Source organism: Homo sapiens, chromosome 1 (assembly GCF_000001405.40).
Source record: "Homo sapiens chromosome 1, GRCh38.p14 Primary Assembly".
Taxonomy (NCBI): Eukaryota; Metazoa; Chordata; class Mammalia; order Primates; family Hominidae; genus Homo; species Homo sapiens.
This window is the reverse complement of record NC_000001.11, coordinates 117634477-117656820: the sequence shown is the minus strand read 5'-3', so window position 1 is coordinate 117656820 and position 22344 is coordinate 117634477. Positions and strand designations below refer to the sequence as shown.

General features: G+C 47.0%; 1 pseudogene, besides 5 other annotated features; it reads left to right on the top strand.

The window, feature by feature from the left end:
• Positions 1 to 140: an enhancer, noted in NCBI's record as "active region_1586". NCBI's record gives its function as "activates an Ori minimal core promoter by ATAC-STARR-seq in GM12878 lymphoblastoid cells {active_cell/tissue: GM12878}" and the evidence as "EXISTENCE:reporter gene assay evidence [ECO:0000049][PMID:35858748]".
• Positions 501 to 610: an enhancer, noted in NCBI's record as "active region_1585". NCBI's record gives its function as "activates an Ori minimal core promoter by ATAC-STARR-seq in GM12878 lymphoblastoid cells {active_cell/tissue: GM12878}" and the evidence as "EXISTENCE:reporter gene assay evidence [ECO:0000049][PMID:35858748]".
• Positions 761 to 830: an enhancer, noted in NCBI's record as "active region_1584". NCBI's record gives its function as "activates an Ori minimal core promoter by ATAC-STARR-seq in GM12878 lymphoblastoid cells {active_cell/tissue: GM12878}" and the evidence as "EXISTENCE:reporter gene assay evidence [ECO:0000049][PMID:35858748]".
• Positions 1649 to 1808: an enhancer, noted in NCBI's record as "active region_1583". NCBI's record gives its function as "activates an Ori minimal core promoter by ATAC-STARR-seq in GM12878 lymphoblastoid cells {active_cell/tissue: GM12878}" and the evidence as "EXISTENCE:reporter gene assay evidence [ECO:0000049][PMID:35858748]".
• Positions 11986 to 12045: a silencer, noted in NCBI's record as "silent region_1243". NCBI's record gives its function as "represses an Ori minimal core promoter by ATAC-STARR-seq in GM12878 lymphoblastoid cells {active_cell/tissue: GM12878}" and the evidence as "EXISTENCE:reporter gene assay evidence [ECO:0000049][PMID:35858748]".
• VDAC2P3 (VDAC2 pseudogene 3) lies at positions 15094 to 16481 on the top strand (annotated as a pseudogene).

Genomic DNA, 22344 nt, shown 5'->3' with positions numbered 1-22344 from the left:
GCTGTACTGAACCATGCTCACGCATTCACGAATTGTCTATGGCTGAACTAAACACACTGCAAGGGCAGAGCTGAGTGGTCGCAACAGAGATGGTCTGGACCCCAGAGCCTGCAAGATTTACTGTCTTCCGCTTTTCAAAAACTGTGCAGAGCCTGGCTGTAGAACTTCAAAGCAGTTGAGGGTCAGAAGAGAATTCAGGAACAAACAGAAGTGTAAACACAGTAGCACTTGGGTGTGAGGGGGCCCCCAGATGCAGACTGCCCAAAGAGGGTGAAGGTTCGAGCTGGGACAGCGGGGGTGAGACTGTCAGAAGAGGTAGTCTGTAGTTGGAGCCCCAGGAAGGAGCTTCCGAAACCGCCACATGTGGTGAGGAGTGTGTGGGTTTGACACAAGATAGACCCGGGCTGAATCTGCCTTCATGGTTTGCTGGCTGTGTGATCTTGGGCAGGTTTTGTTGTCACCCCGGGCTTTGGCTTCTTCAACTCTACAAGACGCCGCCTACATCACAAGGTTTCTGTGAGCTTTTGATGAAATCAGCAACAGAATCAAGTGCGTCTCTGAGAGCTGACGCAGCACAGTGCTTCAGAGCCTGGGCTCTCAAGGTTCCAGCTGAGGTCCAGCTTCAAATTCTGCCTCTAGCTCTTGGGGCCTCTGGGTCCTGAGAAGTGCCCAGCCCCTGTGTGCCCATTGCCTCATCTCGCACGTGAGGAGGGTAACCATTCCCAGCCAAGAGCTACTATAAGTATTAAATTCCAAAAGCAGGAAAAGTGCCCTGCACAGCACTTGGCACCCAGGGGGTTCCCTTTGCTCTTACTACTGAATTGTCCAGCATGCCCCAACCCATGGCAGGCGCTCAGTAACTCTGATTTCCTTCCATCCTTCCTTTTCTATGTGGTCAGAAGAGTGGTGTGACAGAGAGGCCCGGTGCTGGGAATCCACGTTTGCCCTGCTGCCAACTTGCTGTGTGGCTTTGCGCAGCTCACACAAATGTTGTAGATCACTAAAATGTTGCTTATAAAATGAAGGGGTTAGTCTAGATTCAGTGTTCCAAAACCCTGAAGGAACAAACTCTGATGTGATGAGAATCTCTCAGGAACCTGGTAAAACATCCAGCTTCTTGAGAAGATTTTTAGAGATTCCCTTAGAATTCTGGAGACCTGGAATGGGCTGAGGTTAGAATTTGTCTTTTAAATGGGTACTTTGGGCGATTCTTGACATTAAGGTGGTCAAGAGCTCAATGAGCTCGAAGGTCCTTTAGAGCTGTAAAGTCCTGAATGCTCTGGTCCCACAATCCACATCAAGTGTGTGTGTGTGTGCGTGTGTGTGTGCACGCGTGTGCGCGTGTGTGTATATGTTTTGAGAGGGAGAGAAGTTGTGTCTCCGGACTGATTTAACTGTCAACTGGGCACTCGATTTCAAAAAGATTTGAGGCTGTTAGCTTGACGTTGCATGATCATCTCACGTCCTGGCAGCCAATCTGCAGGGGTGAGCTGTTTGTCGCTTTCTCCTGACTCATGTTTGCTTATCTCCAGAAAACTCTGCACCTTCCAAACGGGCACTGCCCCAGGGCCTGCAGCTGGAGTGTCCCAGGCAGCCATTCTCGTAGGCAGCGCTTTCACAATTTTCTAGAAAATTCACCATTTTCCCAGCCCCACTCAGCATGGGTAGGGGCTCCACCAGGCCATGTGTGAGGGAGTCAGCAGCCAGAATGTGGAGCCCAGAGGCGGGAGGGGGCAGGGGCACACACCAGAGGCAAGAGGCTGAGCTGGTAGGGGTGGTAAGAGCACTTGTCTTTGGAATCAGAAGCCTACTCCCTGAGTCCCAGATCTGCCAATTACAAATTGCATGCCTTGGGCAAATTACTTTACATGTCCAAGTCTCAGTTTCATCATCTATAAATTATCTGTGCAGAAGGCACTTCTGAGAGTTCAATGAGATCATGGCCAGCCTGTATAGTAAATAGTGAAACTGACCCAGCTCACAAGTGGTTACCATCTCCATACAGCATTGTTTCCCAGTTCTCTTGAAAGCTACACCTGCGTACCACCAAGTTTCTAGACTAAACCCAGTTTTTTTCAGACACATAGACTGTGGAAATGCAAATACTGTAACATCCGGAGAGCACTGTAAGTTACCCTCCCTTCCTGCCTGTTTTCAGCCTTATCAGTAAAATCACTGAATCCCCTAGGCCTCAGTGCCCAGCCTCAGGGTTTGTTGAGAGAGGGAAGACCCAGAGGGCAAGGGTAAAGATTGACCCAGAGACTCAGAGGGTAACAGAGCTGTCCTGGGCTCAGGGAGCTGCAGGTGGGCTCTGCAGGGCATTGACCGTGTGCTTGTGCACCTCTGGGTGTGTGTGTGCTTTCCTTTGTATGTAATTAGTTGTAAATGCACATATTGGTATGTGTGTGTAGCAGGTGTCCACACTGTCTGGGTGTATGTGACCCTACAGAGTATTTTTTCTCCAGAAGTCTCCTCCCTAGCTCATCGAATTGAAGCCCACACACTAAAAACGGGAGGCTGTGGTTTTGATTCTGGCTGTCCCCTAGTCCCTGCCTATCAGGCTACACGTGGGGACTGCAGGCCCCGTGGGTGGCTGAGGAAATGAGTGGGTGAGTGGGCCTCGTTGTGGGTACTCCGCTGCCTCTGCCAAGCTCCCTAGCCTCCTCCCCCTCCCCCTTCAATTCAACAAGGCTCTCACTTGCATTATTCCGTGAAGCCTTATGAGAAACCTGTACAGACACTAGCATTAAAGAGCCAAAGATTGCCAGAGCCGAAAGAGATCTTAGAGATACATAGTCCTACTTCCTACTACAGAGGAGGAAACTCTAAAGCACAGAGAGGTGAAGTGACTTGCCCAAGGTCACACAGCCAGTTGCTGGTATTCTCCTTTATTCATGGACGAGCATTTGTTTGCATTCCTGCTATGCATCTGGAACTGTGCCAGGTGCTGGAGAAGATGCCAGGAAGCCTAACTCAGGTCAGGAGCCAGAGGAATTATTTAGGAAATGACATTTAAGCCATCACTTCCCAGAAGGGTGACTGACAACAACTAAGTCGGAAGAAAGGCCCACGCAGGGGAAACTCTGCAGGGAAGGGCTCCGAGGTTTGAAAGAGCTTCACATGTTCAAGGAGGACAGGAGCGAGGGTGTGAGGATGGGGAGATAAGTAGAGGCCAACTCGTGCAGGGAATGTGAATGTTATCCCACACACTGAGGGAACATGTAAGCTGGGGAGGGCAATAGTTTTAAAAGACCATTTTTCAAGAAGACACTGGCGGGAGCAGGAGCAGAAGTAGAGATGAGCTCTGTGCTGTTCCTCCTGTGCTGTCACAGGCAGGCACAACCTCACTACACCTCACAACAGCCCTAGGAGGGGTGCTGTGTGCCCTCTTCTTCCAAGAGGCCAGGGCCTGCCTAGATGCCGCTCAGCTGGCAACCTGTGGAGCCAGCACTCCAATTTCACACTTTTGCCTGCTAAGCCTTAGTCCCTTTTCTTTAAATTGTCTCCCATTTACTCTTCAGCCCCCTGGGATAGGGCTTTGTCTCCTCTGCTCCCTGCACCTGACTCTACAAAGTCACAGTGATGTGCGGCATCCATTCGCCTGTCTGTACAGGACTTGATGCTGCCAACCGCTCCTCCCCTGGCTCCTAGGACATTGCATTGTCCTGGTTCTCCACCCGCCTCTCTGTCCACTCCTCAGCCTTCTCCGGTTTTTCCACCTTTGCTAATTCTTCCTGGATAGATGCTCCTCAAGGAATCTGTCCTGGCTGACTCTTGCTTGCTTGGGTGCTTTACACCACAGAGGAGGCTCCAGTTACCATCTCCTCACTGTGATTCCCAGTTGTCCATCCCTAGCCGGCCTCCTGGTCTGGAGCTCTGAAACTATACTGGTAATTATCTGCATCCTCTTCTGGAAATCAGCATGACCAAAGACCCCAGACCTTCTATCCATGTTTTCTTCTCTTGGTTAATGACATCACCGTCTACCAAATTTCCCACTGCAGAAACGTATTCCCACGCCTCTCCCTACACATCATTTCTTCCACATCTAATCTGTCATATGTCATCCAATATTACTTTCTAAATCCTTTTTCAGTCTTTCTTTCCCATCCCTATGGCTACTACCCTAATTCATGTCCTATCAACCTCCTTGGCAAGGTATACAGGGCCCCAGGGGTGAAACTAGGATGAAGGGGCCTATGCCCATTCATCATGGCCTGTCATAACAGGAAGCCAACTCAGAGGCATCAGGCCTTCTTCCAGAGAAAGAATGTCATCTCTGTGCAGGGGTGGCTAAGAGAAGGCCAGCTCTCCCTAACCCAATGAGACCAGCATGTGGGTTTGCACAAATCTGTCCTGGGTAGGTCTCCCTGCCCCTCTCTCTCACCAATATGGCACTTCCCTCCCCAAAGGGACCCATCACTGCCAGCCATGCCCCATCACATATTCACACAACTCACGGTTGCTTAACCTGGTGGACAGATTCTAAGATGGCTCTCAATGCTCCCTGCCTCCTGGCATGTAGGTCCCTTTGTCTGTCTCTCTGTTGACTGTGGGCAGGACCTATGACTTGCTTTTAACCAAAAGAACACTGCAAAGGTGGTAGGATGTCATTTCCGTAATTATATTACATGAATTATAATTTCAATCTTACTGAAAGACTCTCTCTATTGCCTTCTTGGCTTGCATCCTTCAATGAAGCAAGTGCCACTTCAGAGGGCTCCATGTGCGAGGAACTGAGAGTGGTCTCCAGTTGACAGACAGTGTTGGCCCTCAGTCTAACAATCTGCAAAGAAGTGAATTCCACTAGCAACCACATCAGTGAGCTTGGAAGTGGATTCTTCCACAGTCGAGCCTCAGATGAGAGCCCAGCCTTGACCAACACCTTGACTGCAGCCTTGAAAGCGACCCTGAAGCAGAGAACCCAGCTAAGCTGTGCTCTGATTCCTGACTCTCAGAATATATGAGATAATAAATGCATGTTGCTTAAAAGTGCTGAGTTTGTGCTAATTTGTTACAGGACAACAGGAAATAAATACACTTGCTGTCACTTACGTGTGAACAAAAGGAGGTGAGCTCTTTCTGCTGTAAGCAGGGGCATATAACAAACAGATGTGCACCAACCTCAGCACAAACCTCAGGACCGCCTCATCTTACTGGCCTTACCTGTACATTTCCCACCATGCCAACTTCTCTCTCACTCCCTGTACCTATATTTTCTCTGCTTAGAATGAGTATCTGTCCCCTTTTCTTGGCCTGTGAAGTCCCTTTTATCCATCCTGGACTGCCTGAAATGACACTCCCTCCAAGAAGCCCTCTGAGATTGACCCTTCCTATGGGATCTCATAGCTCACTAAGTATCCCTCCACCCTGAACCAGCTACAGGATCTTGTGGCTCCCTGCCCTGAGGTCTCACTCACCACTCAATGCCCCACACCTCATTGTATTCATCATTTTATACCCAGGGCCTATTAAGTATACGATGCAATAACTATGCACTGAATGTGTGAATAGTTCAGCCTCACATACCTCCTCTACCAGGAACATCACAGCCTGCAAGGGAGCTGTGTGACCATCCTGAGGGGAAGGCAAGGCCTTGCTGTCACCATGGTGGCCTGCTTTAAGAGTCTTATCATATGATATTTATGTAAGAGAGGGAGCTACCTTGGAAGGAGAGCAGATCTGGGTGAATGAAAGGCCCTTTTGTTGTGCTCAGAGCCAGGATGGTTTTGGATATGCAAGATATGCAAGCTAACCTGCACTAGGACAAAAGAGGAACCGGAGCGAAGGGAAACCAGAGAGGGGGAGCAGAGAGCCAATGAGATGCGGGGCACTGGGAACGACAGAGGGGCCATGGCCCATGAAAAATCCCCAATGGAGGGCAGACCAAGGACCAGGGATGTCTAACGTGCAATTTAAGGTTGTTGGCATTGCTGTTAGGGCTGCCAGATTTAGGAAAAAATTCAGGGATGGGGGGTTGGAGGCAGGGAGAGACATACAATGAAAAAAATTATCCATTGTTTATCTGGAATTTGAATTTAACCGGGTATCCTGGGTGTTATCTGGCAACGCTGAATGCTATGACATAAATCTCTCCTCCTACAGACTTACAGTCACATCTATAATTAACACCATGTCTCGTACAATTTAGGGTGTTTTGTGGAATTATGTAAGAAGCTAAATTGGGGTTCTGGGCTCTGGGACCATGGGGGCACAGAACAGGAGTAGCACAGGGGATTCAGGGTAACCCATGAACTGAATTAGTTCTGTGGAATCAGGAGTTTAGAGTTGGAGGTGACCATAAAGGTGTCCACAACGGGAAAATCTTAGGAAAGGCTTGAAACTTTCCAAAGCCAGAGAGTAAGGACTTGGAGAAAGCTTACTGAGACAATCTTATTGAGGACTCAAACGGGGAGTGCCCAGCTGTCTCTTCCCATCCACCCCCTGCCCCTGCCAACCCACCCACTAGGAGAGTCTGGGATGGAGGAGTCACAGCACAGCAGCAAATCTCTTAACCTGTAGCTGGGGGAGGTCTGGAGGAGTGGTAGGGGAGAGGTGCCTAGATGGTCTAAGAGGGGTTAGAAAAGCCCCAACAGGCTCACAAATGCACAAGTTATGTGTGTACATCTTCCTGAAAAGAGTGGCTGAAATTTTCCACCAGGCTTATCAGAACCCCTGATGTGAAGAGTGTTGGTGGGGGCAGGTCAGCACTCTGCTCCCCTCTAAGATGTGAGATGGCTCTGGCAGAGGAGGGTGGGCAGCTCTGGCTGTGCCACTCCATCAGGGTACAACTGGGCCCGGCTGGCGGCTATTTGAGGAGAGACCGTCAGCTCACAGAGTGGCCCAGCACCATTAGCTTTGAGGCCTCACAGTTCCTCTGGGGCTGAATCTCTTAGGGAACCAGCCTGTGTGGCCCCATTGCCTCTGGGTAGTATGTCCAGTCATGGTGCTGAGCTCCCAGCAAAGTACTAAGTATACCACTAAGAGGCAGGGCACTCCCAGCCCCAGGGTGCTTCGAGCCTGAGTACACCTGGAGAAACAAGCTGCAGCCCAAGCTCTGCAGCCTGGGATGCCAGGCTCTGACCATAGGGCCCAGCCTCCAGTTCAAGTCTCATTTCTGGGCACCCCTTTACTCCAACTATTCCACACTAACCCATTCTAGCCACAACGGGCATCTCACTTTCCTCTACACATGCCAGCAACATCCATACCTCATGTACTCGGTGGTAGAATTAAGATGTGACTGCAAATGCTTTAGTACTCTTCCCCTCATGAGGTGGAGCCCGATTCCCTTTCCCTCCAGTGTGGGCTGACTTTAGGACTACCTTCTAACATGGAATAATGCGGAAATGACAGCAACTTCAGAGACCAAGGCATAAAAGGCATTGTGGCTTCCTGCTTATTTTCTCTCTCATCATGCACTCTATGGAAAGCTGGCTGACACATCACACAGATACCCAAGAAGCCTCCAGAGAGGCCCATGTGATGAGGAGCTGAGGCCTCTGGCCAACAGCCGTCAAGGAACAGAGGCTTTTGCCCATCGCCCCAGGAGAGTGCTTAGAAGCAGATTTTCCAGCTTCAGTCAAGCCTTCAGATGGCTGCAGGTCCAGACAACTTCTCAGTAGCAATCTCAGGGGACATCCTGGCCAGGTCTACCAGCTAAGCTGCTTCTAAATGCCTGGCCCACAGAAGTGTGAGGTAATAAACGTTTGTTGTTTTAAGCTGCTAAGTTTGGGGGTAATTTGTTACACAGCAATAGATTACAAATATACACATGCTCTTTCCTGGACTGACATAGCTTCTCTTCTCTACTTTCTTTTCTTTTTTTTTTTTTTTTATTATTATACTTTAAGTTCTAGGGCACATGTGCACAACGTGCAGGTTTGTTACATATGTACACATGTGCCATGTTGGTTTGCTGCACCCATTAACTCATCATTTACATTAGGTATATCTCCTAATGCTATCCCTCCCCTCTCCCCCCACCCCATGACGGGCTCCAGTGTGTGATGTTCCCCACCTTGTGTCCAAGTGTTCTCATTGTTCAACTCCCATCTATGAGTGAGAACATGCGGTGTTTGGTTTTCTATCCTTGCGATAGTTTGCTCAGAACGATGGTTTCCAGCTTCATCCATGTCCCCCTTCTCTACTTTCTTTTCCTTGGCCTTCAAAACACCATGCAAATGCCACCCCTTCTGCATCACCTTGCACGGTGCTGAAGGTCTAATTGGCCACTTTTCACCGTGGGCTAATTAGGCAGTGTGCGTAAACCCCCATTACAACCCCTACTGCTCTACCGTATGGAATAAGAAGCATTTACTTACTGCCTCTCTCTCTCTCTCTCTTTCTCTCTCTCATTGAAACTGGAGCTCCTTGAGGGATTAGGTCTTGTTCATCTTTATATCACTAATGCTTAGCACAATAGTAGCACTCAATTAATATTTGTTTAATTACTTAATTTAATCAATTAACACAGAGAAAGACTGCATAGCATAGTGCCCAACCTCCTATTGTTCACAAATATGTTCATTTCTCTGTTTGAGTTCAGTGAAAAGGGAGTCAGTAGTCATAGATAAGTGTCTACTTCTCTTTTCTCCCATCCCCAGTAGTGATTTGTGACCCTTGTGTTACATTTATCTTCTCTCTTCTCCAGTAAGAGAGGAATTTGGAGTTCTGATGAGGCAACCTAGGTTCAAAAAAGTTAAATGACTTTCCCAAAGACATGGAAATGATACACTCAAAATCAGTTGCAAGTAGATATTCAATAACACGGCTAAATCGTACAAACATCCTGCTAAATGAAAGAAGCAACTTCTACAAGAATGAAATTAGGATTTCATTTCTATATAGCTTAAAAACAGGCAGAACTAAACTATAGTGCTTAGAGATACATACACAGGTGATACACCTATTAGGAAAAGAAAAAAAAAAAGAGTACCACAAAGGTCAGGATAGCAGTACCCTCTGGGGAAGACAAGAATGATGCAGTGGGGGCTCTTGAGATTTCTCAAGTACTGGCAATGGTTCATTTGGCAAACTGGGTGGTAATACGAAAAAAAAAAAATGAAGCGTAAATCTTATCTCATTAATTCAAAAGTTACTTTTTAAAATGTTCATTCTGGCTAGGCATGGTGGCTTACACCTGTAATCCCAGCGCTTTAGGAGGCCGAGGCGGGTGGAACACGAGGTCAAGAGTTCAAAGCCAGCCTGGCCAACATGGTGAAACCCTGTCTCTACTAAAAATAGAAAAATTAGCCGGGTGTGGTGGCAGGCGCCTATAATCCCAGATACTCAGGAGGCTGAGGCAGGAGAATCGCTTGAACCCGGGAGGCGGAGGTTGCAGTGAGCCGAGATCATGCCACTGCACTCCAGTCTGAATGACACAGCGAGACTCCATCTCACAAAATACATAAAATAAAATAAAATGCTCATTCACTTGGATCTGCCAGTCCAGAATCAGTGGGAATTCAAGATGAGGCATGAATTGAACCTTGAAGCTGTAGAATGGGAGACGCCTCTGCCCAAAAGGCACAGTGGGACATGGGCTGTTACGGGGCACTGCTTCTTTTGGCAGCGCCTGGGTTTCTCTTTCTCTTATTTTACAGATGTTTCAAAGCATGGCCCTTGTTTCTGTAGCGGTGGGCCTCGGGCTTCCTGACGGAGCCACACGCAGCGGGGGCAGGACTCCGGGCGCCTGCATCAGCCACAGCACAGCTGCCCTGCTTCAACCTGCTCCCCTCATTCGGCTTCCACCAGCAATTTCATTTAGAGAATGGGTTTTGATGTGAAAAAGAAAAATGTCGAAAATTCCTAGGGCATCAATTCTCCCTTAAATATTAGATACAGGATTTGAAAATACTAAAATTACTTTTCTTTTTAAAAAAGTTTTCTATACCAGACTACACTAAGACAACTTCCTTCAGGCCTCCCTCTGGTCCTGAGTTCTGCTCCGCTGTCCTCCATTCCTTCCAGCTATGCTCTCCCACTTCTGTGCTGCGGAAAAGGCTGCCTTCCTGGGGCACGTGGACCCATTCTAACATCGCTGGCACACCCACTGGTCTTCTGTAGGAAGCTGCGGCTCCTAGGAGGTAAAGTCCTCCGGTCTGTACAGGGCGTGGTTCATATCTGGGCCAGAGGAGAAGGGGCCTGGGGGCCAGCTGAAGCCACTGCAGTCTGTACTCCACGGGGCTGAGCCATGTGCTGCCAGGTCTGATGTCCCTGTTCTAGACTAGTCTGCCACTGGGCCTCTGGGTGTCTCCAGCTCAAGACCTCTGGTCTCTCCCTCAGAGCTGCTGGCTTCCAGAGCTGCTGACATAGGAGTTCTTCAAGCTGCAGGCCACCTGATACCCGCCAGAGCAAGCTGGGTGCAGTGAGGACCAGTCATACGACTCTGCCCAGAGCCAAACTCAGTGAGCCAAGTCCCAGGGAGCCAGAACGGAAAGGGCCATGCCCAGTAAGGCTGCCCAGTGGGGTGGGAACATGGGTCCAAGCTTACTAGCCCAGCTTCTCACCTCTCAGGGAACCAGCATCCTCCAGAGAAACCTGCCCATTGTGCCCCTGAGACTAAATTCAAAGTCATGGACAAGATGGATTATGTAACCAAAGGCAACTGTTCCTCTTGGCCTCACTCCAGAGCTTCATTATTAAAAACAGCTAAGACCATTCACTGAGTTATTACTACATTCCGGACATTCTGCTAAGCACTTTATATACATATTTGAGCCAATCCAAGCCAGTCATACCTAAATTTTAAGTACTATTTTCTCTATTTTATCAGTGTGTTAGTTAACCCATGGCAAGGTTAGGTAACTGTCAGGGTCACCGTCAATACAGGTGAGCCCAAGTCTGAATGGCCCCATTCAATCTATGGAAGAATCAACTGCAATCATACTGCTTCATGCTCAGGGAAGCCCACTGTGGCTGCCATCTGTGCACCTTTAATGTCCCCCACCACCATGCCTCCCCCAACCACGTTGTTTCCAGTTCTCCACTCTTCCCTGTCCTCATCAATCTCCTGTGACTCTTATTTTCTAGGAGACACCTCCAGAGTTGCTTCTCTGCAGGCTTTCATGTAGAACAAGTGCTGCTCCGACAAAGTCCTCAATGGGCTCACAAGGAACCTAACTTCGAGGGGCCTCAGTTTCGTACTCAAACTTGTAGGCCCATCCACGTTCATGTCTGCATTCATGGCCACAGTCCAATATTTGATGATCCTAGTGATATCTCTAGGGGGCCAAGAATAGATAAAATTGTGCTGTGTGCTCTGTATGCCTTGGATAAATTCCTAATCTCCTTGTGTATGTTTCCTCATCTACAAAATGGTGAGAATACTTGTACCCACTTCACAGGGCTGTTGTAAGGATTAAATGAATTAACACACACAAAGCACTTTAAACAGTGCCAAACTCAATAAGCATTCATTATTAGTGGTAGTAGTATTGCCATTTTATTATTCTTACCAAGGCAGGAAAGTATGCAACACGTTTTGGAAAGAATTCTATCATGAAGGTAAAATTTTTGAAGTGCTTATGATCAAAGGGCTCATCTTTGGGTATGTGAGAAACAAGCTGGCCCAGAGACTTGTACCCCCTGAGCTGCAGGATAACAGCAGGATAGCACCAGAAGGCCACAGGAGATAAGAGATGAAGGTCCAGGGAGTCATCCAGTTACATGGTCTTTCTCAAGTTGCCAACATAAATCCCCTACTTAGGAATATTCCTTTTTCCAAATGGTTAGATGGAACTTTTTAATAAGAAAAACAGCATGATATCATAATCACTTTTCCAATGGTTTCATCTTCACCCACCATCCTACGCCCTTGCTCTACTTCCCAAAGACAGAGACTGGCCTCTGGCCTTCCAGGAAATCAGACCCAGCCTCCACTATGGATTCACTGACTGCTACCATTGCAGGTCCCAGTCTAGGGAGGGAGTGGCCAGAGAACACGAGCCTCCTGGTGGCTCCGTCACAGCTTACCCAAACCACAGACCAAAGGGTTGTGCTTGCTAGATTTTATTTTTATCATGACCACAGCTGCTGTGGAGTCTATCTGTTCTGAACACTACAGTAATAAAGATTTGTCTTTATTAATGAATTAGTTTAATTCAAAAGAAATCTTTAGACTTCCATCTCCAGCCAAGTTGAAATAAAGGAAACCATTTTTATTTCCTTGGCTGAAAAAATTAAAAACAAGACAAAATATTGAACAACATTGGACATCAGGCAATGAAAGGCAGCAATTCCGGAGAGATGGGAAGCAAAGGAGGTGAGCCCTGTGACTGCCTCCGTTTACTGGCTGGAGAGAGTTTCCAGGCCCCTGAGATAGGAAGGAAGAAGCCAAGAGGATGTCAGTTTCAGAGATGGAGCTAGGAATCTGGGGAGATCAAGGCCTCTAGAGGGTGCAGGGCAGAGTACCAGAGAGGAGAGAGCACCACTGAGAGGAAGCCCCAGAGGTCTGCAGGGGGTCTCCCTGGACTCTTCAGCTGAATCCTGATCCATGCATAAAGGTAAGGAACCTACTCAAGGTTGGGAAAAGAAGCACCCTAAAGGATTAGAGAGAACAGTCCACAGAGCCAGGAATTGGTCCTATTCCTACCAGCCAGAGTATAAAACTTTATCATTCATGGGGCATCAGATAGAGTACTCAAAAGGGTCTTCCCTCAATAGTGGGGGAAAATTAGTCCACAATGAAATGCAGTTCTGGTCCTATCTAACAAAGCTTAAGAGACCCAAAGGATCAAACTTAACTACATCCCTAACAAAGCTCAAGAATATTTATAGAAATACAAAAATATTGTGTACCCAATAAGGTAAAATTTACAATTTCTGTAATGAATAAAAAATTTTCAGGCATGTATAAAGGCAAGAAGATATAGCCCATAATAAGGAAAAAAACCAATCAACTTAGACTGAGAACTGACAGAGATTATAGAATTAGGAGACAAGGACATTAAAAATATTATTATACTATTAGAACAGCTAAAATCCAAAACACTGACAACACCAAATGCTAGTGAGGATGTAGAGCAACGTTCACTGCTGGTGAGAATGCAAAATGGTACAGCCACTTTGGAAGAGGGTTTGGTGGTTTCTTAACAAAACAAGAACAACAACAACAACAACAAAAGCCTGGACATACTCTTACCGGATGATCCTGCAATCTCACTCCTTGGTATTTACCCAAATAAGTTAAAAGTTTATGTCCACACAGAAACCTGCATATGGCACATGGGTGTTTACAGTATCTTTATTCATAATTGCCAAAACGTGGAAGCAACCAAGATGTCCTTCAGTAGGTGAATGCATAGAAGCACAGAGGAACCTAAAATGCATATTGCTAGCTGAAAAAAAAAAAAATCTGAAGAGGCTATACACTGCCTTCACCTTAATCCCAACAAAAGTGACAGGGAAAGAATACAAAAGGCAAACACTCATAATTACAATGAGAATGGAAGAAGAAATGGCAGACGGTGAGAGCGATCCACATGCTTTGGGGAAGTTGAGAAGCAGTTGGATGAGCGGTAACTGACTTGGCAGAGTTTAGAACCCTGAAATCAAAGCTAGAAAGTGGAAAAATGAAAAAGAAGCAAGCCAATGTGCACCTCAAGCCTCAGCAGGGCTTAGGAATCAGAAACATCAGATATCTTTGAAAGCCAGAATGTGGGGGCGGACAGAAAACCACAGGATTTGTAAAAAGTCTTCATAAAGAGCAGTTATACCCCAAGCCTGTACTATCCAGCAATGGTACCTGTTCACCCAAGTAGAAGAAAGGAGGCTTACTCTCTGCAGAAGGTAAATTAGAGAGGCTCTGGATTTGGAGATACCAACAGTAGCTCAGAAGATGGTTGAGACTTTTGATTCTGAAAGTGGGATTAAGTGAAATCCACATGCTTTACTGTGAGTCAGGCTTGTACATCCAGACATACATATGGCTGACATAAGATTCCTCTTGGGGAAACTGACCAGCCCAGGAGACAATACCTACAGATATCCACATCTGGGGGTCTCCTAACAAAACATGGCTGAATACAGAGAAGGTTGGAAGACCATGAGGTTCATGCATGAACTAGAGCTTCTAATTAATTTTTATGTGACTCATACCAAAATAAGTATGAGTAGCTAAGGATCACCTGCCTTCTGAAGAACACCTCTAAAGTCAAAGACAAGGAATAAGACACATTAACAGAGAAAAGGCACTGGGAGAAAAGAGAGTACAAGGGCAAAAGAAAATGCCAGCAAAACTTATAAATAATATTCTCAAAGTGATAGAAGATATTGCACCTGTGAAATGGAAAAGGGAAACTTAAAAGGGGTATATGTTCAAAAACAGGTTAAAGATTTGATAGCAAAACTTAGAAATTCAATGGAAACTTTACAATGTTTTTTTCACAAAAGTCACTCAGAAAGTTAAAGAAAAAGAGAAATGAGAGAGATGGAGAAAGAGAGAGAGATTCTGATTGAAAACCAGAGATAAACAGTAGCACTAGATTAGTCCAGAGGTCAAACATCTGAATAATCAAAATCCAGAAAGAGAAAACAGAGAAAAGGGAGAAAACATTTTTAAAGAAATGGTAAAGGGAAAATTTCCCATAACTGAAGGATATAACTTTCAGATTAAAATCACTCATGGAGTGCCCAGCACAGTGAACGTAAACATATACACATACAGACACATAGACACAGGCACTTACACACAGGCACACAGACAGACACACAGACACAGACACTTACACACACAGACACAGGCACACAGACACACAGACATAGGCACTTACACACATAGTAACACAGACACAGGCACTTAGACACATGCACACACAGAGACACAGACACAGGCACATACAAATCATACAGAGGCACACACAGACAAAGGCACTTTATCATAGAATCCAGAACACCAGAAGTAAAGAGAAGACTCTCAAAGGGCAGGGGCTAGGGGAACAGGTCACATACAAGGATAAAGCATCAGTGGCATCAGACTTCTCAACAGCAATACTAGAAGCTAAAAGACAATGAAGCTCCTTCCCTTGCCTCCCAGCCATGGCAGGTGCAGCTCCATGAGTGAGTCCAGTGGCCTCACCTGCAAGTGGAGCAACAGCAGCAGCCTCACTAAGGAGACCACCAGATCACCTCTTCCTGAGGCCTGACCATGTCAACCTACCGACAGACCTGTACACAGCCAGTGTGTCTTCCTTCCTCCATCATACGCTCACCTTGTCAAAGCTCCCAGAGAGGGTTTCAACAAAGGATTTGGTTTTAAGTTGGTGAAACGAGGTAAAAGCAAAGTCATGTGGTGGCGTGGAATTCTTAAAGTCTGGTTCATCTAATACAGACACTGGTAAAGTTACTGGGATCTTGGAGTCCAAATATAAATGGTGCAAGTATGATTTGACTTTCACAGAAAAATGGAACACTGATGACACTCTGGGGACAGAAATCACAATTGAAGACCAAATTTGTCAAGGTTTGAAAATGATATTAGATACTAGCTTCTCACCAAACATAGGAAAGAAAAGTGGCAAAATCAAGTCCTCTTACAAGAAGCAGCGTGTAAAGCTTGGCCGTGATGTTAACTTTGATTTTGCTGGACTTGCAATTCATGGCTCAGCTTGCTGGGTACCAGATGAGCTTTAACAGCACCAAGTCAAAGCAGACAAAGAATAACTTTGCAGTGGGCTACAGGACTGGGGACTTCCAGCTGCACACTAATGTCAATGATGGGGCAGAATTTGGAGGATCAGTTTATCAGAAAGTTTGTGAAGATCTTGATGCTTTAGTAAACCTTGCTTGGACATCAGGTACCAGCTGCACTCGTTTTGGCCTTGCAGCTAAATTTCAGTTGAAACCCATTGCTTCCATTTCTACAAAAGTCAACAACTGGTTGACTGGGGTCAGCTACACTCCACCCCTGAGGCCTGGTGTGAAGCTCACCCTGTCTGCTCTGGTAGATGGGAAGAGCATGGATGCTGGAGGCCACACACTTGGCCTTGCCCTGGAGTTGCAGGCTTAATCCAGATGAAAGAAACCTCTGGGAATGGATAGCAGAAGATTTGGCCTTGATGTATTTCCATTGTGACGAGCAGGCTTTTTCCCCCTGAGAAGGTGATCAAAATGAAGGATGATCTAAACAAGAGCTGTATTTTAAATCTTTAGACAGTTACTTGTTAGCTGCTTTCTAGCTGAATAAGCTCTCTCTCTCTCTGTAGTTACCAATGCTGCAGTCCTGCAGTTACCTGTACATTGTTTAGATGTATATAACTGTTAAATATGCTACTCACCAATCATGAAATAGACTTTTATGAAAACTGCACAGTTGTGTGCGTGTTTGTTTTTATGTTCCTTTAAACATTGAATATTGTCATTGCGTGAGATGAATCAGTGGACATTTTAAGATGAGGTTTAATTTTTTTGTTAAATTCAACCACCATTAGAATTACTTTTGGTATCCCAGAACATTACAAATCATGAATAAAACAAGCATATAATTAATGGTTCCAAAGACCTGCCAGCGAGGGTCAAATCGCCCTGGTATCTTGCTAATACTTTATTTTTCAGGTGAGCATTCTGCTGTTTGCCTAAATCTGTCCCTAGATTAGTTCCATGAACCTTTTAAGACTACAATAAGAGGGTACATGCTTTTAAAAAAATTTTATAATGAGGAAATGTCTCCACATTCCGAAGAAAAATGACTACTAGCCTAGAATTTTATGCTCAGCCAAATTCAAGAATTTTATACTCAGCCAAATTCAATCCAAGATGAGGGTAGAATAAAGCTATTTCAGACATACATGCAGGCTGACTGGGTGGGCCCTCCAGCCTGTCAATCTACCCTGATGTGAGACGGTGAGGTGGTAGATGACGTGTCCCTGGGGGCTGGTTTTTCAGGGGATGGCAGGCAAGAGAAACATCTGCATACAGCGACTGCTTGGGAGATAGGACCCCTGTGTGGGGGCAGGAACAATACCCCAAATACTGCTCCACTAAGGGAAGTTTGGAAGCCTAGGCGATACTGTTTGCTTCTCAAAATCACTAGGGGATGCTAGAGCCATCAGCTCCCTAATGACCAGGGTGCTAAATGTTCTACAATGCATGGGACAGTCCCTCAACAGAGAATTGCTCTGCCCGTAGTCCCAAAAGCACATCCTTGAGAAATCCTGAATTAGATACTTTCTTTGGCTTTCACTGTGAGGCTGCTTATACTTGAAGTGGGGCTGAGTGGGTGTAGAATGCTATGGGGGTGGGCTGGGTGTGGTGGCTCACGCCTGTAATCCCAGCATTTTGGGAGGCTGAGGTGGGCCAGTCGCCTAAGGTCAGGAGTTTGAGACCAGCCTGGCCAACATGGCGAAACCCTGTCTCTACTAAAAGTACAAAAATTAGCCGGGCGTGGTGGTGGGTTTCTGTAGTCCCAGCTACTCAGGAGGCTGAGGCAGGAGAATCGCTTGAACCCGGGAGGCAGAGGTTGCAGTGAGCCAAGATCACGCCACTGCACTCTAGCCTGAGCGACAAGAGCGAGACTCTGTCTCAAAAAAAAAAAAAAAAAAAGAATGCTATGGGGGTTAGTCGGGTGAGGTGGAGAAGACAGCTGAATTGGGGAGAAAGAAGGAGAGGGAAACTATTGAAACTATTCCAGGATATAAAATACAATGACTGACTAGAATAAACAGGTATGCCTGACACCCATGAGTCTACTGAAAAAATTCTACTATTGAATTCTTTGTGGCTATGCCCAGGTTTGTAAAAGGTTCTGTAATTGTTCTGTGCCGAAGTTCAGGTCTACACCCTGTCAGCATGCCTTGCCTGGACCACTGCTGCAGCTGCCTTTCAGGTCTCCCTGTTTCCAGTCTCACCTCTGCCCCTTCATCCATGACACAGTTGCCACAGTGATCTTTCAAAACACAAACACGAATCTTTCGAAATAGTACTTGGGGTATTGTTCATGTCCCCACACAGGGATCCTATCTCCCAAGCAGCTGCTGTATGCAGGTGTTTCTCTTGTCACTCCCCCACTAAAAGCTTTCAGTGGCCCCGCACTACCTCCCCATTCCCCAGGGAGTGTGCAGCCAAACTGGACTCATCCTGCAAGGTGCAGCTCCAAGGCCCCTGCTTTCTGAGGCTTCTTCCAGTCATCCCCTGCCAATGAGACCCTAACATTGTCCTCCTCTGTCACAGTACTCATCCACAGCATGACACGAGTGTGTTTTTGTCTTGTATTTCCCAGGAGCTCTTTATGGGCAGGGACTATTTCTCATCCTTCCCTGACCTCCAGGACCTGGCAAAGTGGTGTGCACAGGACGGGCTGAGCACTGCTGCTGTGCTCACTGAATAGAGTTGAGCCATTTCTCCCTCACAAGAAGGCTGAGTGCAGAGAAAGCCCAGGATCACTCCTGTCACCAGCATAATAAGCAAGGGTCCCACATCATGTCAGGCTTTCTCTGGGCAAGTGAGTCCTTCACAGCTTTTTTGAGTCACAAAGGCCACTGTGGAGCTGTAGGCAAGGATCCTACAGATAGGCTAATCCAATATCTGCATTTTGCAGATAAGGAAACTGGGTCCCAGCAAAGGCTGGTGCCTCACCTGAGGCTAGAAGGCTGCACACACCAGAATAGGACATGGTCTCCTGGTGTCCAGGCCAGTGCCCCACCAGCTCTCACCCTAGTGAAATGGGATTAATTGGAAACTGGTGACCATTTTTCCAGATAAAATGTGGGCTTCCTCACCCTATCCTCCCTTCTCACTGCCCTGGAAGCTATAGTGGAGGATGTGGGGCTTGGAGGGATGGGAGATAGACTTGGAAGGTGATTTGAGGCTTCTTTTATTTGATTTCATTTTTTGAGGTGGAGTCTCGCTCAGTCGCCCAGGCTGGAGTGCAGTGGCGTGATCTCAGCTCACTGCAATTTCTGCCTCCTGGGTTCAAGCAATTCTCCTGCTTCAGCCTCCCTAGTAGCTGGGACTACAGGTGCACTCTACCATGCCCAGCTCATTTTGTATTTTTAGTATAGACTCCACCATGCCCAGCTAATTTCTGTATTTCTAGTGTCACTATGTTGGCCAGGTTGGTCTTGAACTCCTGACCTCAGGTGATCCACCCACCTCGGCCTCCCACAGTGCTGGGATTACAGGTGTGAGCCACTGTGTCTGGCCCAAGACTTCCTTTTAACATTCGCTGTTGAGAGATCCTGAGCCTCATTCTACAGGCAATGAAGAGCTATTGAAGGTTTTTGAGAACAGGGTGACTTGATTGCAGCAGGGCTTTAGGCTGAAGGGAGAAGTGGGAAATGCAGGCCTCTAGGGACCTGGGCAGATCCACTGCCCCCGTAAGTGATTTGTCTTTGGCTTATGAATGCCTCAGCTAGTGGTGCACAGAGAAGGGGCAGAATGAGTCTCACCTGAACGGTGAGGTCTTTGCTGGAAAGTCTCTTGGCAGATGTAAAAACTGAAAGGGAAGATCCTGGATAAAGAACAACAGGGAATCTGTCCCTAGATTCTAGAATCTGAATTTAAGGAGGGTCAAGAGGTCAAGAACATGGTCTTGGAGTCATGGTGATAGTAACCGGGTCCCATCAGTGGAGGCTCGGACAGCAGCCAGCCCCTGGGAGCTTGAGCACAGAGCTGGGCAGCTGGGGGTGTGGACTGGGGCCCAGAAGACCTAGTTCCATAAGGGAGTATCATGAGGATACTCTATATTGTCCTATACTTTGTGTTTTCTCTAGATTTATTTTCCTTTACAAATTTAGTAATGTATCTTGTTAAACATCCAGCTTGTCTCCGCTGGCTCTAGGAACCAAGGGTGCCTATGGGGACTCCTGTTGGAGGCAGTCTGCAAAGGAAGAGCAGCTTCCTAGACAGTGGAAGGACAGGGCCATTGAAGTGAGGGCTCCAGAGGGAAGAGCAGCTTGGTCACCTTCGCCTCCTGATGGAAGTCTCCCTTCAACACTGGGGATTTTATTAGGGGAAGTGAGAAATCCCTCATCACTGCCTGCTGTGCGGATGTCAAATCTTAGACTCAGTTTTGTTCTACTAACCACAAACCCCCCTGATTTTATCACCATTCGAGCATAGTAATTTTTTTTTTAATCTGAAGTAAAAATGCGCTGTTCTAACAATAGGCAACTAAAAACACAAAACAAAACAATCTTTCCACCCCCAATCTAGTAGTCTAAAAAAAATGACAGGCAAATCGGTCCCTTTAATCGAGTCCACCTTTTAAAAATTGAATCCTAAGTGTGGACATCTAGCTTACTGGTCTGATGTTTTCCTCATGAAGATCTGTGACATGTGTTCAAGTGTCCTCCGTCCCCTGGGATGTCATCTTCTAGGCTGGTCACCCTCATTCCGGCTCTAAGGACTCTCCCACTGTCCCTGTTCCCATCATGCACCTCCTCCTTAACCCTTAGGACTGCGGCTTCCAAACTCCAGGGCACCTGAGAACTATCTGGACATGATTCCCTGGCCCTTCCTCAGCCCTTCCGCAGTCCCTCTAAATCAGAATCTGAGGGCGGGATCCTGGGAGTCTGCATTTTGAACTAGCACTCTAGGTGATTTTAATCAGGCACCAGAGGACCAAAATGAAGGTTGCTTCTTTACTGATGAATCGCTTTGTTTAAGCACCCGTACTCACATATCTAGACTACTGTTTATTAACTGTCGACATAGTGCTAGGGTCTTTACTAAGTTTACCTCCTCTAATCCTTATACTAACTGCAGCAGGTAAGCATCCCCATTTCTATAGCCACAGAAAGAGAGCTTGTCAAATGTCACAGGGTTAGGAAATGGCAGGGTAAAGTCCATCCAGCTCCCCAGCCCACTCAGTTCTCACTCTCAGTGCCTGTTCCCTCTGCAATGGAAAAGAGAGAAGCCCAAGAGGAAGCAAGCACTGGGCTCTTTTCGCAGCCTCATTCACTTCAGCCTCTCCCTCCCTAGGCAGTAGGGCTATCCTCTGCCTGTTCTTATTGAAACTTATTATTTTTCAGACAACTTCCTTCACGGCTTAAGCATTCTTTTAAAAATAAATTGTTTTTAATGACTTGGGATGGGGTCTCGCTATGTTGCCCAGGCTGGTCTTGAAATCCTAGGCCCAAGCAATCCTCCTGCTTTGGCCTCTCAAAGTGCTGGGATTATAGGCGTGAGCCACTGCTCCCGGCCAACTTGAGTATTCTTGACTTATTCTTGGCAGAGTGAAGCCTTTTTCATGATGGCCTTTCCTTCATCTTTTCCCTTGCAAACCTGAATGGCCCGCAGAGTTACACTGATATCGTCAGGGTTCTCCCTATCCCCCTTTGGACTCATCAAGGGTAAGTCTGAATGGATAGTTTTCCATTTGGAACGTCCTCTCATCAGGAGCATTTGGTATGTCTGGATTTCATTTCTCCAACTTCTGACAACCTGCATCCATGCTGCAGGCAAAGAGGCTGAGCTCCCGGGGCCAGGAGTCTGATTCCAGTGGGGCTGACTTTGCTGGCCATGCCTGGGGGTCCAGTGGGCTGCTGCATTTTCAAACAGTCCCTACCCACTGCCCCCACAGGAAAGTGGTAAAGGGCTCTGCAGTCCACCCTCAGGACACCAGAACAAAGGGGGTCCTAAGTTAGCCTTGGGGGTGCACCTGGGGACTGTGGGCAGGAAGGATATATTGACACAACAATATGGGGTGCAACTTTAAATTCCAAACAAATTGTCCCAAGCTCTTTCAGAGGAGTTCTAAGGAGTAGAACCAGCCTGCCTAGCAGGTGTTCTAATATTTGGGGGCTCTATGAAGAACTGAGGAAGGAAGTCTACACTTGCTGGGAACATCCGAAATTGTGACCCTGATGGGAAGAGGAGATTCTCCAGTGGTGAGGGGCATGGTGGAAGGTGGGCCAACAGGACCATCTGGGACCAGAGGGCAGTGAAGCCCACGTGGTTGGAACTTCAAGGCCCAGCTTCAGAGTTGCAGTGACAGCAACTCATGCTGTCAACGGGCAACCACAACCAACCCTGAGGAGGTGCAATGGAGGAACCACTAAGGAGGCAGGTAATACCCAGCTCACAGGACTGGCAGTCTGCAGTTCTACCTTACTGAGGAACATGGTGGGGGCGGGAGGAAGGCAGAAAAAAACAGGGGGAGGGTCTTGCCCTGAGGCACCCTGTCCTCTAGTTCATGGGTTGGAAACTCCAGCCAGTGGGCCAAATCTGTCCTGCTGCTGGTTTGTGAACAGCCAAAATAGGCTGGATTTTAAATGATTGGGGAAAATCAAAGGAATATTTCATGCTACGTAAAAATGACATGAAATTCGAATGTCAGTGTCCATAAATACAGTTCTATGGGAACAGCCTTGTGTGTCATTGATGGCTGCTTCTGTGATACAACAT